Source organism: Homo sapiens, chromosome 9 (assembly GCF_000001405.40).
Source record: "Homo sapiens chromosome 9, GRCh38.p14 Primary Assembly".
In the NCBI taxonomy this organism is placed as follows: domain Eukaryota; kingdom Metazoa; phylum Chordata; class Mammalia; order Primates; family Hominidae; genus Homo; species Homo sapiens.
Genome location: NC_000009.12, coordinates 91260893 through 91275748, shown reverse-complemented (window position 1 = coordinate 91275748; position 14856 = coordinate 91260893). Strand labels below are relative to the sequence as shown.

Here is a 14856-nt window from a genome sequence, read left to right as displayed (position 1 = left end):
TAGCATTTCAGTGGCAGAGAAAGCCTCTGGAAATGGCCATAGTCATCCTTTTGGGTGATAAGTTATGGGATTTCTGTTCGGCTTGGAGATTTGGCCTGTTGAAGTGGTTGACATTTTATGAAAACAAAGGAGCAAACTTTTACCTGATGCCGTGTTAAGATTCACTCTGTCAAGTGGTTGAGAACACTTATTTAATTATCTAACTGTACTTTTGCATTACCTTTTTTTATGGCCAACTTTAAACATGCCTAGGGAAGTTCCCGTTCTATTCCCAGCCAGAAGCAAGTGTTTGAAAAATGAGAAATCACCATAGAGCTCCTCTAAGATTAATTTTTCACAGGTCCAAGAATGCCTAATATTTAAAATGAGCTACTTTGAAATCAGTCATGTATCACATCAGTGTTTCAAAAAGAGATTGAGAAAATATGGGCTGTTACAAAACCACTAACCTCACCTGTTGCTCCGTGGTGATTTGGAGCCCTGGAGCAGGGCTGCCTGGATCTGAAACTTTGCTCTGTGGCCTTTTGGGAAAGTGACTTGCCTCTCTGTGTTTCTGTCCTAATCCTTAAGTGCAAGAGTGGTCATGCATATTTTATAGTGGCATTGGGAGGATGACAGGAATGAATACATGTAGAAGGCTTTGAAAGGGTTCTGGTAGATCACCACCCAGTGTGTGTTGTACTAGTCATCATTGTTACTGTAACTTAATGTGTTTTAGTGTTAATGGATGTCCTTTTTTCTCTTTTGCTATCCCAGCCCCTTCCTTGCCTAATTGTTACTCTCTTCTGTGTGGTTAGGAGCAACTAGTTCAGTTTAATTTCCCTTAGAGAGCAAGTTTCAGATATAGCATCATTTTGAACTACTAAGGAAGTTTAATTCTCCTAGGATTGGTCATATAGCCTTCTTTAGCAAAATTGAACAGGAACCTTAGGTGAAGCTTGGTTAGCCAGGTTTATGGATCTGGGGCCTTTTCTATGCTTTAATTTTATATATTTGACTGTTTAGTAGATGTTTATCTTCCTTATCTGAAGTTCACTTTCATCTTGTTGTTGTTAACCTACATAAAGATTTATTTAATGTGGATTAAGTCCTCTGTTATTTAGAAATATAAATTGAGTTGCCAATCTGATATTTACTTTCTCAATTTTTATACACTTGACTTTGCAGTTATACATTTTTTGCTAATTATTCATAAGGCTTACAACTACTACTAGTAATTCAACAGAAAATAAGTACTGTATTGTAAAATCCTAAAGGATTTGAGTTTTTAATTCAAGTATATTAAGAACACATCCTTAGGTATTGAAATAAGAACCTTATAACATCCTGTCATCTTCCAGTTTGCAGTTTCACCTCTTTGCTAGTGCTGATGAGGTCATTGATGTGTCATCATAACACTCTGAGTGCCAGTAGGGAAGGAACTGTTTCATTTGATTGACTACTGTATTAACAGTATCTAGCCCATTGCTCATTACATGATAGGTGCTTAGTAAATATTTGTTAAATGAAATAAAATGATTTTCTCTATATTTTGTATTTTCTAGGATTTTTAGGAGGCATACCCAGAAAATAGGCTTATATATTTTTTTTGGATTTGTTTCTGCTAATAATCAGTATGCTTTGCACGTTTGTATTCTGTTTCCATTTCTTTTGTTGCTGTAGTTTGCTTTTCAATAGGCACAGTTTCAGTACCTGTTTCCCTGCCCTACATAACACCTTGAGAGAGACCTTCTCTTGTGTGCCCGTTATTTTTAATCCTTAGACTCAAAAGAACAGATTGTCTTTCTTAAATTCAAATATACCTGGTCAGCCCTTTTCCACCTCTGAGAAGAGAGAAAAGAAAGTATATTAAGATTCTGGAATTATTTGTGTTTTATGGCTGTGCAGAATTAAAGTGGCAAAAATTGTTCGTCAAAGAGCTCAGATCCTTTTAAGATGCAAACCACTGAATTTGTTTGTCAGTGATTGCTCTGGAACTGGAGGTATCCCCCTGCCAATGCCTGGTTTGGGGGCCACTGTGTAATTATTTTTTACTGATTTGCCTCATGAATGTACACATATGCATGTTATTTTTGATGCCTTAAAAACATCTGTTATAAAGACAGAGGGTTTTAAATACTTCAATTTGGTACCTTTATTTTGAGCGACCTTAAATAAATGTAACATTTTCAATGCCAGTTGATATTGCAGAAATCTAAATTGCTGTTCAAATATGTGAAATTTATCATAGTTTTTCAACTATTTTCACTTACAGTGCTAATTAATAGCCACTGAACCTTAACACTTTCATACTAGTCAGTTATAGTGGAATCCTGTCATCACCAATAGCTCCTATAGCAGCTATTAGGAGATAACTGTGTTACAAGGAATACCTGGAAGAGTTTTCTCTTTGATGTTTATACTAAGTACTCAAGTGAAGGGTGTTGTACACCATGACTATAGTGAACCTTTTTGTGTGCATGTGTGTGTTTTTAACCTTGCCGGCATCTTAATCCCCCTTTCCAAATCTCTGGGTCCCTGCTGAGTTTCAGCAGCTTTGTCTCTGCCCAGGGCAGCAGGGTCCTTATCAGAAGTGGGCCTCTCGGGTGTGGCTTGGGGCTTCAGTCCTGCTTCATGGTGTCTTACTGGTTTTTGCCCTTTTTGAACATAATTCTTCAGCATTCCTGGTAGTTTCGGGGGCCACCCAAAAACCTTTCAGCAAATTCTTCTTCAGCTAAAGTTGGTATCCATTGCTAGCTGCCAAGAAACTTGACTGATACAGCTGTGTATTGTTCTGTTCTCCTAAATCCCAGTCAGTGATGTATATTGATGCTAAAGTACAAATGTTATGTAGTCAGTATTTTGCTCTCCTATTTCTTTAGAGTATGTTCTATGCCTACTAGGTCTTACTTGATTTTACAGTGAAGTTTTTTTTGGTTTGTAAGTTTGTGAAATATATTCAGCTATAATTATTTTATTGAGTACTGCTTATGCACCAGATACTTGTTAGTAATGGCTGGAAATACAGTAGTAAACAGAGACAAACCCCCAGCCTTCATAGAGCTTACATTCGAGGAGGCAGACGGATACATAAAATATATACTATGTTAGACCATAGTAAATGTGGTGATGGAAAAATTAAGCAGAAGATGGGAGAAAGAATGTGAATGAGAAGGTTATTAGAATGGGTATCGGGTGTTTTCAGATGAATCCTGATGGTCTTAAGACAGAGGTGGGAGGGTGCTGGGCACTGCTCCCATTTCTGCTGGGCCGAATGGAGGCCCAGGGAGGAGCAAGGCAAACGCACAGTGCTCTCGGCTTCAGGATTTCCCTTGACTCCTAAGATGTGCTGATTGGCCCAGGACACTGACGGGATGTGTAGAAAGCAACATTTTAAAAGAGTAGCAAGCTGGGGGAGCATGAGAGCACCTTAAGTGTACTTCAGCAGGCACAGGTGTAGTGGGATTAAATAGGCAATTATTGTGGGATGAAGTTTAAAAGTACATTTGGATACAAGAATTGACATTTTAAATACTTTACTATAAAAATTGAAGCACATGGCCTATTAAATCTGGACCATATGTTCGTTATCCTAATGTCTATTTTAGTTGTGACACCACATAAAGAATGTGTAGGAGCACCAGCTTTTAGAATAACACAATTTCCAGGGGGAGCTGCTGTTGTGTTTCCTTATTTAACATACAAAAGCATTTGATGCCTGATACTCACATGCTTGTGCAATATATATAGAAAAGTCTTGGAATTATAGAAAATTAGAAGCATATTTAGGCCGGGTACGGTAGCTCATGCCTGTAATCCCAGCACTTTGGGAGGCCGAGGCGGGTGGATCACCTGAGGTCAAGAGTTCCAGACCAGTCTGGCCAACATGTTGAAACTCCGTCTATACTAAAAATACAAAGAATTAGCCGGGCGTGGTGGCGGGCGCCTGTAATACCAGCTGCTCAGGAGGCTGAGGCAGGAGAATCGCTTGAACCTGGGAGGCGGAGGCTGCAGTGAGCTGAGATTGCGCCATTGCACTCCAGCCTGGGCAACAAAAGCGAAACTTCTCAAAAACAACAACAACAAAGCATATTGAAGATTTTGTATTGCATTATAGAAGGACTAATATAATATCTTATTATGCAGAAAGGCTACATATATTTGAAGTAATTGTCATAGGACAAGCCCTACTAAACGTAGTCTTCTTTCCTCACTTACATTTTTTACTAAATGCCTTAGACTGAATATTTATTTTTGTCACTGTGAATATTAAAGAAAACTAAGCAGAAGCAGTCTTAATATCTTGTTGATTACATTTCAGAAAAAAAAGAAATGGCAGAACATTAAGCCTGAATGCCATTTGCTATAATTACTCTGTGTGAAATATAACTGGTAGCTGTCAAGCTTTGATTGAAATTTACGGAAGGTTGACACCAGCTGCATGTATTAATTGTCTCTGCAAGCAAATGCACATACCACCATTACCATTTGGAAGCATGCTCTTTTCTATTGAATTTGTTGTAAAGCATTTTTTGATTGTGTTTTGATGAATGCTGCTCTAAGTTCAGATTTATCTTTTGCTTCGTTTCTAGCAAACAAACAAATGTCCTTTTAGCTAACTCCTGAGTACATCTATATGAGGGATATTTCCAAATTTGTAACACTGACCATTTGGAGAAGGGAAACTTAAAAATTATTATTTTAAAGAAGTGTTTTGAAACATGTTTCTAATAAAAATTTATATATCTTCCCTATTTGGACTATTAATATTTGACTCATTCTACATGAAATTCAATTCATGCATTAGTATTTTTATAAGGTAGTTTGATCATATTAGGACAGTTATTTTTTCATCCTTTTTAATTGGGCAGTAGCAACCTCCAACTGAAATTTTTCTATGCATACTATTCATAAAATATATTTTTAAAAGCATTGAAACAAACTTATTCTTTATATCAAAGTGATAAATACAGGTGTGCAAACTTATTTGGATTGTGTACAAGTGTATTTTGGTGGGTGCATTGCTACCTTGTTTGGTTTGATAGGTACCACATATGGCACCGGGTAGGTCAAATACTGATTCTTTATTCATTTTGATCACAGTCAGAATTGAACAAAGATTCTAGGTGCAGCACAAGCAGAAGGTGTTTATTCCCTTTTTGCTCTACAAGGGGTGTCTACTTTGAGTCTTACAGAAGCCAAAACAGTGTGAATATAACCTAAATTCATCTGAAGACTTATACTGAGAAGTATATTGGTATCATTGGCTTATTGAGAATCTACAGTAGACGTTTGTTGCTTTTTAGCTGTCCAGGATCTATTCTCCTTCCTGAGAACACCCCAGTTTCTATGAGGAAAGCACAGGGCTGTTCCCACTAGGGAAGCGAACCAGGGCCCCCTCCACCTCCTTTCTCTTTGGGTGTGGAACTTTGAGTTTCTGCAGCCTGGGGCTCTTCCACAGGGCTTTACAGTGGGAGGTGGAGCCCAGCAGCCCTGGAAGTCTCCATGGAGATGTGCTGACCCTTTCCCTGCATGTTGCCAGTTGGTCTCTCTGGTCTCTGTATGTTATCTTTTGGAGCCTCCCTTTGATGGTCTCTGAGAGTCTTCCAAAAATCCCCTTTCCTTATGCTAACCAGAGTCAATTTTAGTTGCTTACAACCTTCACAGGAACTTTAATTGGCTTAAGAAGCATATCCTTTTAAAATCTAAAATGGAATTTTAATTTTAGTAAAAGTGTTCTTCTGGCTCACTTGATAGAGTTTGATGCCAGTTTAAACTCCATTGCTGGGAGACAGTTCTTACACTAGCTCTGTAGACCCAGCCAGGTAAACACTTTGTTTCTCTTTGTAGTTAGGTTTTGAAGATAAGGTTTGTACAGATCTGGGTATCATGTCATAAAGGGATTTGGCAATGTTTTTTTGTTTTGTGGAATAGTATTTAAAATTTTAGGAACGTTTCCCAGAGCACGAGTGTTTAAAGCCATCATTGGTGACTGGATGCTGTGTGTCATAAAGGGGTAGCTGAACTCAAACATTTCTTCAACTGCATTTTGTATCATGTAGTTTTATTAAAATGAACAAAATATATCCCTCTTTTCCTTCTCGTAATTTTAAAGTGACACGGTTAGAAGTATAACATGACTAAACTTGAAACATTACATTTGGAAATTCATTAATACAGAATAAAATGTACTTTTCTCATTAAAGGCACTTGGTTTCTATTGAAATTAGAATATTACTAGCAGAATCATATATTGAAAATAATTTAAATGTTTATCTTTCAATCTAAGTATGAACTAATGAAATGGAAAATTTAAACGTTTATATTTAGATCTGTCACTACATAGTTTTTGTATTAGACTACTGTCTGTCTCTATCATATTTTCACTGTAGGCCTTCCAGACACGTAAGTGTTTCTGTGAATTAATCTATGTTTTATGAGGGAGTTCATGAAGACTGGTTTCTTAGATGCTTAGAAAATATTAATTATCTGGCTTGGCGTGGTGGCTCACGCCTATAATGCCAGCACTTTGGGAGGCTGAGGCAGGCGGATCACGAGGTCAGGAGTTCGAGACCAGCCTGGCCAATATGGTGAAACCCCATCTCTACTAAAAATACAAAAATTAGCTGGGCATGGTGGCGCACGCCTGTAGTCCGAGCTCCTCAGGAGGCTGAGGCAGAAGAATCGTTTGAACCCAGGAGGTGAAGGTTGCAGTTAGCCAAGATCGCACCACTGTGCTCCAGCCTGGGTGACAGAGCGAGACTCCATCTCAAAAAAAAAAAGAAAGTGTTAATTATCTGAATCATACCACCTCAGTAGGATAAACCTTGATATAATAGTAGTCATGCCAGCATCTTGTTTTATATTCTTGTCTATTAAATACATGCTTAGATATTGTATTATGCATATCCTTGAATATATTTAGAAGCATCACAATTGAATATGTATGGATTTACCTCAAAGAAGACTGGGAAATAGTTACAACTGGCATATTGTCATAAAAACTAGAAGTATTATGGGTTTTAAAAAATAGGTCTATGGGCCGGGCGTGGTGGCTCACGCCTGTAATCTTAGCACTTTCGGAGGCTGAGGGAGGTAGATTGCCTGAGCTCAGGAGTTTGAGACCAGCCTGGGCAACACGGTGAAACCCCATCTGTACTAAAATACAAAAATTAGCTGGATGTGGCAGCGTGCGCCTGTAGTCCCAGCTACTCAGGAGGCTGAGGCAGGAGAATCGCTTGAACCTGGAAGGCCGAGGTTGCAGTGAGCCGAGATGGCGCCACTGCACTTCAGCCTGGGCAGCAGAGTGAGACTCCGTCTCTTAAAAAAAAAAAAATGTCTAGGAAGTGTTATGTTTTTCTCAGTGTGTGTGTGGTCCTTGCACTTTCATATGGCTGCAAACACTTTAAATTTTGTGCCCTCCCAACATAGATATGAGTTATGTTGGAATGAGTTTATTTTAAACCAGAGTATGTTCTCATTATAGAAATGTTACATAGGATGAGAAGACCTATGGAATACTGCTGAAGCCTAATTTAACCCAAAGTTTAGGTGGAGCACTTTGTGCTTTCATGTATAAAAGAAAACTGTTTCTGCGTGAATAAAGTTTTAATGGTAAAAAGCTACTGAATTTGGAATGATGATGTTTATTACGATTGTTGGTCCTTGAGTGGAGGTTGACTCTGTGGGGTTTTAGTCTGGTCTTCATTTTTTCTGCTTGAGAACATCCTCCTGGTCATCTGGAGTTAATGTATGAAGACCAGAGCAGCCCGTAGCTGAAACTGGAAGTTAGGAGGATAGATCTGTGAGTCCAGAATTAGGGGCTCTGGGCAAAAGTGCAATATCTGTGGGTGGAGGGGCTGGAACCAGCAAATCCGCGTTGTCATCTTCCAACAACTCATATGGAAAAGGTGGTAGTAGTGTTAGGTGAAGGAATGCATTTACAGAGTAGAGAAAAGGGGCTAGGAAAGGGGAAATGAGCTCCCTACATCACCTTTCTGCCCTGCCTGCCTGGAGTACTCAGTACCTGAGAGAAGAAGCAACCAAATGTTTCTGAATCATAGACCGAGGCTCCCTTAAACCACTAACAGCAAGGATGCAGCATTTCAGTGGAATGCTTTTACCTCTTCAGTTGCAACCACTACCAAGGGAGAATGCTGTGTACTCCCTGTGGTAGCTTCATACTTGCTTTCCACTTGCGGAAGACTCTGAGGGGCAAGCAGATGCGGCCCAAAGGAATAAAAGTGCAGGCAACTGAAGACATACATTGGAAAACCTTGAGTTAACCTACTCGGCTGTTAGAGCCATTAAACAAGAGCAAGACACCGTAAGAAGGGAGCAGGTGAATGGTGAAAATGAAAAACATGGGCCTCATCCTACATTGTAAAGGTTTAGAGTTAAGGAGACAGGGTTTAAACCATTAACTAATTGTGTGACAGGCTGCTAATTATGGCAAGGTACTTGGGTCTCTGATCTTTTCTTTCTCTGTAAAATGAAGGTGATGATAGTATCTGTATTGCAAAGTTTTTTTTTAAAGACATTATATTTGTTACCTTTTAAAGACTGCTTTGTAAACTGGAAAGTGCCATACACATGTTAGTTATCCCATGGCTTTTTACATTAGTAGCTGGGGCACCTTTCTAGGGCATGCATTGCTAGTTCTAAGTTTCAATGATGCATCTGTAGGCTAAGCTGACACTTCCCTTTCTGCCATCTGGACTGATAATCAAGAGACCTGGATTATAGTACTGGAGATCTGGTTTTGCTCCTGAGTAGCTTTGTGCTTCTCAGACTTCTCACCAAAATATAACATACACACACGGAGTGCACTAGCAGTCTGTCACATGGGCATACTTTGTCTAAAATGTCAGTTTAATAATTTTTTATAAAGTTTGCTATCTAACCCTTAAAATATATGTTTATGTTCAACTATACATACCTCTAAGTTACCTGTGATTAAGATTGCCTGAGCCTGTTCCTTTATGTGCCCCAGTCATAGGGGCATACACACCCAACTCTTGAATTTTTATTACTTGTTAAAGAAGAGTACTGGACTCTGTGAGGCCTGGTGTACCTTTCTGGACCATTATTCTGTGAACCTGTGTAGCAGATATTGCAAAGAACTCTTGACCTGGTTACAAAATCAAATTATATGACACTCATTTTTATCAACTGGTTTCTAGATATTGTGTAATCCTTACCCATATGAGCCAGTTATAGAGGGCTTTGCTCAGGGTTTATTATTGTAGAGGCCACAAATTAACCAATGTTATTGGCTTACAGATATTTTTGAAGGTTGGCCATCAAGTACATGACCTTTCATTGTGGTCTTTACCCTACTTTTGTGTGTGATTGTAACTTTCCTTTATTTTTTATTTTTATTTATTTATTTATTTATTTATTTATTTTGAGATGGAGTCTCACACTGTTACCCAGGCTGGAGTGCAGTGGCGTGATCTTGGCTCACTGCAACCTCTGCCTCCCAGGTTCAAGCGATTCTCCTGCCTCAGCCTCCCAAGTAGCTGGGATTACAGGCGTCTGCCACCACGCCCAGCTAATTTTTTGTATTTTTAGTAGAGGCGGCTTTTCACCATGTTGGCCAGGCTGGTCTCAAACTTCTGACCTTGTGATTCACCCGCCTCAGCCTCCCAAAGTGCTGGGATTACACGCATGAGCCACCGTGCCCGGCCGTAACTTTCCTTTATAAGCTTAAAAATCATTAAGGCTCTGGGTCAAGAAAGCAGACTAGTTACTGAGCATTGTCATCTGCCTTCTCATTTTAAGGCTTCACCAAAATGAAAACATAAACTATAAAAGAGAAAAAAAAAGGTATAATTACAAACATGAATACCAAAGAAAACGGGAAAGGAGGCATCAACAAATGAGATATATAACTCTTTAGGAAGAGGGGATTGATTTTACAGATGAGACGGGTTGAAAAGCCCTAGCCTAAATGTACTGCAAAGAGGTTTCTGAAGATATGCAAGTTTTCAGAAAAACTGACTTCTTTAGACATGAGACGAAATTCAGAAAACTAAGACTCCTGATGATATGGATTTTGATGTTGCACAATAAAATCCTTCTCATTCTGTGGAGTCTACTGCTCGATAGTCAGACTGTTTTCTGTTCATATCAAGTAAAGCCTGCCTATTGGGGCAAATAGAGTTCAGAATTCCCCCTTAAGGGAGGAGGCCCTCCCCCAAAATATGCCAACTGACACGAGTGGAGGAGAACAGTTCCCACTCTCCTGGTGTTACTATCTTAAAGAACACATAACCAAGAGGTCATGGAGTACATGAGGAGAATTGACAGTGTGAAAGAAAAACAACTGAGCCTTAAGGAAACAGCTAATACAGAAACAATGATATTACAAAAAAGAGCTATTAGGTTTTTTTTAAAGGATTGCTGAAATGAAAATTTAAGTAGAAATGTGAGAAAATGAAGTTGAAGTAACCTTCTAAAATGTAGAGCAAAGACCAAAAAAAAAAAAAAATGCAAGAGCAAATATGTGGGGAATTAACCTCTGAGGTTTGACATTTGACTTAATGAAGCTAGAGAAAAGGAAAGAGAGGAGAGGAAATTATCAAAATAGTGGAGGAAGATAATTCCCAGAGATGGAAAAGACACACATCTTTATATTAAAAAGACCCACTGAAAGCCAGAACAGTTAATGAAAAAGAGTCACTGTGGGTGTGTATTTGTGAAATTTCAGTGCTCGGAGGATTAAGAGAAGATCATAAAAGATTTCAGAGAGGAAGAAAAACAAGTTGCCTGTGTGTGAAGAAGTATTAAGCTGGCATCAGTTGTTTCATCAGCAACATGGATGCTATAAGCATTGCCTACAAAACCCAAAGGTAAATACACTTTTAAACCTAGAATTCTGTACCTGAGGTGTATATAGATATATATGAGATAGCAAAGATATGTCTAGATATAAGATAGCAAAGTTAAGACATTTTCAGATGTGCAAGGCCTAGAAAAGTTAGCTTCCCAAATACCTCTTTTTGCTTTTTAGAGATAGGATCCCACTATTTTGTCCAAGCTGTTCTCAGTCTCAAACTCCTGGGCTCAAGCAGTCTTCCTGCCGTGGGCTCCCAAAGTGCTGGGATTATAGTTGTGAGCCACCATGCCCAGCCTCCCAAATACATTTATCAGAAAGATAGTTGAGTATGTACTCCAGGAAAACAAAGTAATAACCAAGAAAGAGAGACTTGGCCTTCAGGAATTAGAGGAACCAACCTAATTGCACAGTCAAAGCAGGTCTTTGAGGTAATAATGGCTATACAATAGTCCAGAAAACAGCCATTCCAAATTGGAACAGGAGTACAAAAGACTCTTGAAGCAAAACAATGGTTGACAACTTGGGGATAACATCTATCTCCACTTCAACCTTATGCTCCCAGAAAAAAAGCAATTAGAAATCCTAGGAGAACCTCCACTCATGCCTCAGTTTGTAGGGGAAGGTCAGGCTTTTAAGCAATCAGCAAGAAAAGTGGGTCCATTTAATCTTAAAACTAGATTTTTAAAATTTATTGTAGTGGTCAGATTATGACATTAGATTTGTAAAGAATGAAATGTAATTTTAGTATACCTCTTGGCCTGGTATTAAATTGTGTATATACACACACACATATAACACATATATGTGTGTGTATATATAATATTGCAGATACTGATTACTGATTTTCAACACAGCTAGTCTGTGATAAAGTCTTGATAGTGGTTATAATCTTGATGTTATAGGAAAAGTGAAGCTTACCTAAGGTGGGTTGTGGAAGCTCAGAGGAAAAGTGTGTTGTGGCTCCAGTATCAGTGAGAAATTGATATACATGGTGGACTTGGTGAAACAGAGAATGTAATCATATTCTGTATACTTACAATCACAACTAGTAGAAGAGCTAAAAATTGGGAGAGGCAGTTGAAGATTAGTGTAGATGAGCTAAATTCTAATTTTTAAATTTAGGAGAATCAGTAGACATTATGTAAAATTATTAAATCCAGAAACCTAGATACAAGTTTACTATTTAGGGATATAGAGATGACTACCAGAAGAATGAAATACAAGAATAGTCAGAAAATTTATTCTGAGGAATGGGTCATGGTATAGGGAGGGAATGTGGAAACAGAAATTCTCTAGTGTTATTGGATTTATTCTACATTTACATATTTTGAGAAAACAAAACACTTAAAATATTTCCTAATTTGGCGTTTCACTAATCTAGACCTATAATGAAGTTTTGTTAAAGAGTTAGTTTAAATAATTGTCTGAACTCTTTGATACTAGCCTTAAATAAAATAATATGAAAACTTTTTCTTCACACTTGGCTTTTAAAACTGAGTTATTTTGGATAACGACAACAAAAAGTCACATGAACAATTATTTTTCCCATTATTAAACCTAACACTTTTTCCTGAAAACATTTGTGCTTTTTTACTATTAGTTGTATAGATATAGAAACAAGTGAATACAGCTCACTTTTAATAAGTGTGAAATTCAGCCCTGAATCTGGTAGACTAAGTCATTGATGACACAAATCATATCCTGTGGTAAACCATGGTATAGAAGTGAGGATGGGGCTTCAGAATCCTTTCCAACAGTGTATTCCAAGCATCAAATAGACATTTGGTCATTTGCAGTTGACTCAAAAGCAAAGACCTAGTTTGCGTTCTTGGCACTGTTCTGCTTCTACTCTAAAGATAACCCATAGTAGAGTGACCTGGGGAGAACATGTGGAGTACCATCTTAAAACACAGCAACACTGCAGTAACTGCAGCAGAACAAAAGTGCCTGCAACACTCAAGAAACATACCTGTTGCCATGGCCACTTGCAACTTTTGTGGCCTGTAAGTGAGATCGATAATTCCTATTTATCCCTCCCCAAGCAAATTTCTACTATATGACTATATCTGAAAGTTCTGTGATTTTTTCATCCTGGCAGAAACAACTTATTCACAAAACAGGCAGCTGGTTCACTGACCATAGTTTGCCAGCCCTTGATGGAGTAGTTACGGAGTTTTGAACTAGATCACCTAGGCATGAATGTTGTCCCCACCCCACGCCCCCACCCCACTCCAATTGTGGGACTTCGTTTTCTAATCTTTAGTGTTACCGTAATGGATGTGTCAGTGCCATAGAGTTTTGTGAGGATTAAATGGAGTGTATAAAGTGCTTGAGAATGGTGCCTGGCTCATAGCAACTGCTTTTTAAGTTTTATAATAGCTGTTATTGAAATAGGGTACAAGTGGCTAAGTTTACTCTCATATGCTGGCTCAGCCTGGTCACAGTGTTTGGGGCCATGTTCATGTTCAGTGGAAATAATGCTGTCTGATTAGCTGTGTTGGAGGGGCGAGGGAAGACCGTAATAGCTGGTCTAGGTCTTTGGTACCTCTTGCAGATGATCCTGTCATCCTCAGATAACCTCTTCATGATTAGGAATGCAATACTACATTAAAATATTTCTATTAGAAAGCAGATTTAATTCAAAATTATCTCAGGTACACTGGGTTTTACAGAAACATAACTGATGTAAATTTAAGGTTGGCGAGTAATGGATGTATAAACTACTCTTTAATGATGTTAGTTAACTCGAATTTATCTTGATGACATTTTGCAAAAATAATATTTAAAGAACAAAGCAGTTTGTTGAACAGTATGAACTAAGTGGAGTATAAACATGAAATGCTTTTATTTTTCTCTAGTTATTGCCTTCAACTGAACTTTTAAAAATCTTTTTTTCCCATTGGTTTATGTGTTGTTGACTGACTCAGTAACTTTCTAGTCATTTTTGGTTATTCAAGAGAAAGGTGCCTGCTTAATTTGGCTCAGTTCAAAACTTCATTCTCAAGTCTAATTCAAAAGTACCCTTTTTCTATTTCCAGAGAAATAGAAAGTAACAGAGTAACAGAGACCAAATGTGTCTTTCTACTTTAAATTACTAGAGAATTGGGCAAATATATGGAACAGCTGTTTTCATACACTGGATTACAGGTAGCACAGTTCTGTGATCCTGAGAGAAAATAATCTACTAAGGGAAGTCCTAAAATCACTGCTGCTTTCTGCCTAGAGGCATTTTCCAGACTACAGTGAAAGAAAGAGGAACCTAGGAATTCTGAGGAGGCTGAAGTGGATTAATATGTGAGATACAACACAGGATAGGAAGTAGCTACACAGAAGAACAGAAATTTGCACGAGGGTGACCTTGAGTTGGTTGGTGATTGCCAAGATGTGCTTTCATTTGATAAAACTCAACAAAGCCACAAAGGAACTACCAGAGAAAGAGAACTGTAAGCAGACTAATTCCCAGAGTTCACACAGAAGTGAACTGGGAACATTTAAAATTCTGAATAGCAGATTAAAGAGGCTTTGTAGGACACCCTGAAGAAAGTAGAAACCCAGAAGGATTATGCTTTGGTAGGGCCATACTATCCTTAAAATAAAGAATTCTCTAGGCCTGTCTTAACAAAGCTTAGAAACAAGTCCCAAAAGGATCCACCTGCTTGGCAAAGAATTTAACTGCCTTTGGTACATCATTCAATATGCTTTGAAGAAATACAGCATAATCCAGCACAGAACAAAATTACATAATATCTAGCAACCAATAAAAAAGTAGTAGAGATGATGAAGCAGGAAAATACGACCCAGGAGCAGAAGCAGTCAGTAGAAACAGAGATGATGGAATTGGCAGAAAAGGATCTCAAAGCCACGACTACGTTTATACTCAAGGATTTAAAAGAAAAAAACTAATAAGAGAAATGGAAGATATAAAACAACTATTTGAGATGTCTAGGGGTAAAATGTACAATCTCTGAAGTGAAAATTTTGCTGCATTTATTTACTTCAGAAATTGTAAATTTTGGAAGTAACAGCAGATTAGGTAC

General features: G+C 38.2%; 1 protein-coding gene across 17 annotated transcripts in view; it reads left to right on the top strand.

Moving 5' to 3' along the window:
- AUH (AU RNA binding methylglutaconyl-CoA hydratase) overlaps nt 1-14856 on the top strand; it is a 148096-nt gene that overhangs the window by 86170 nt on the left and 47070 nt on the right. For 2 of the 17 annotated variants that reach the window (XR_007061324.1, XR_007061323.1), the window contains one exon: nt 10691-10832. The exons of the other annotated variants lie outside the window; for them this stretch is intronic. The gene's annotated coding sequence lies outside the window, so the exon portion shown is untranslated. The remainder of the gene's footprint in view (nt 1-10690; nt 10833-14856) is intronic. 17 annotated transcript variants of the gene reach the window in all.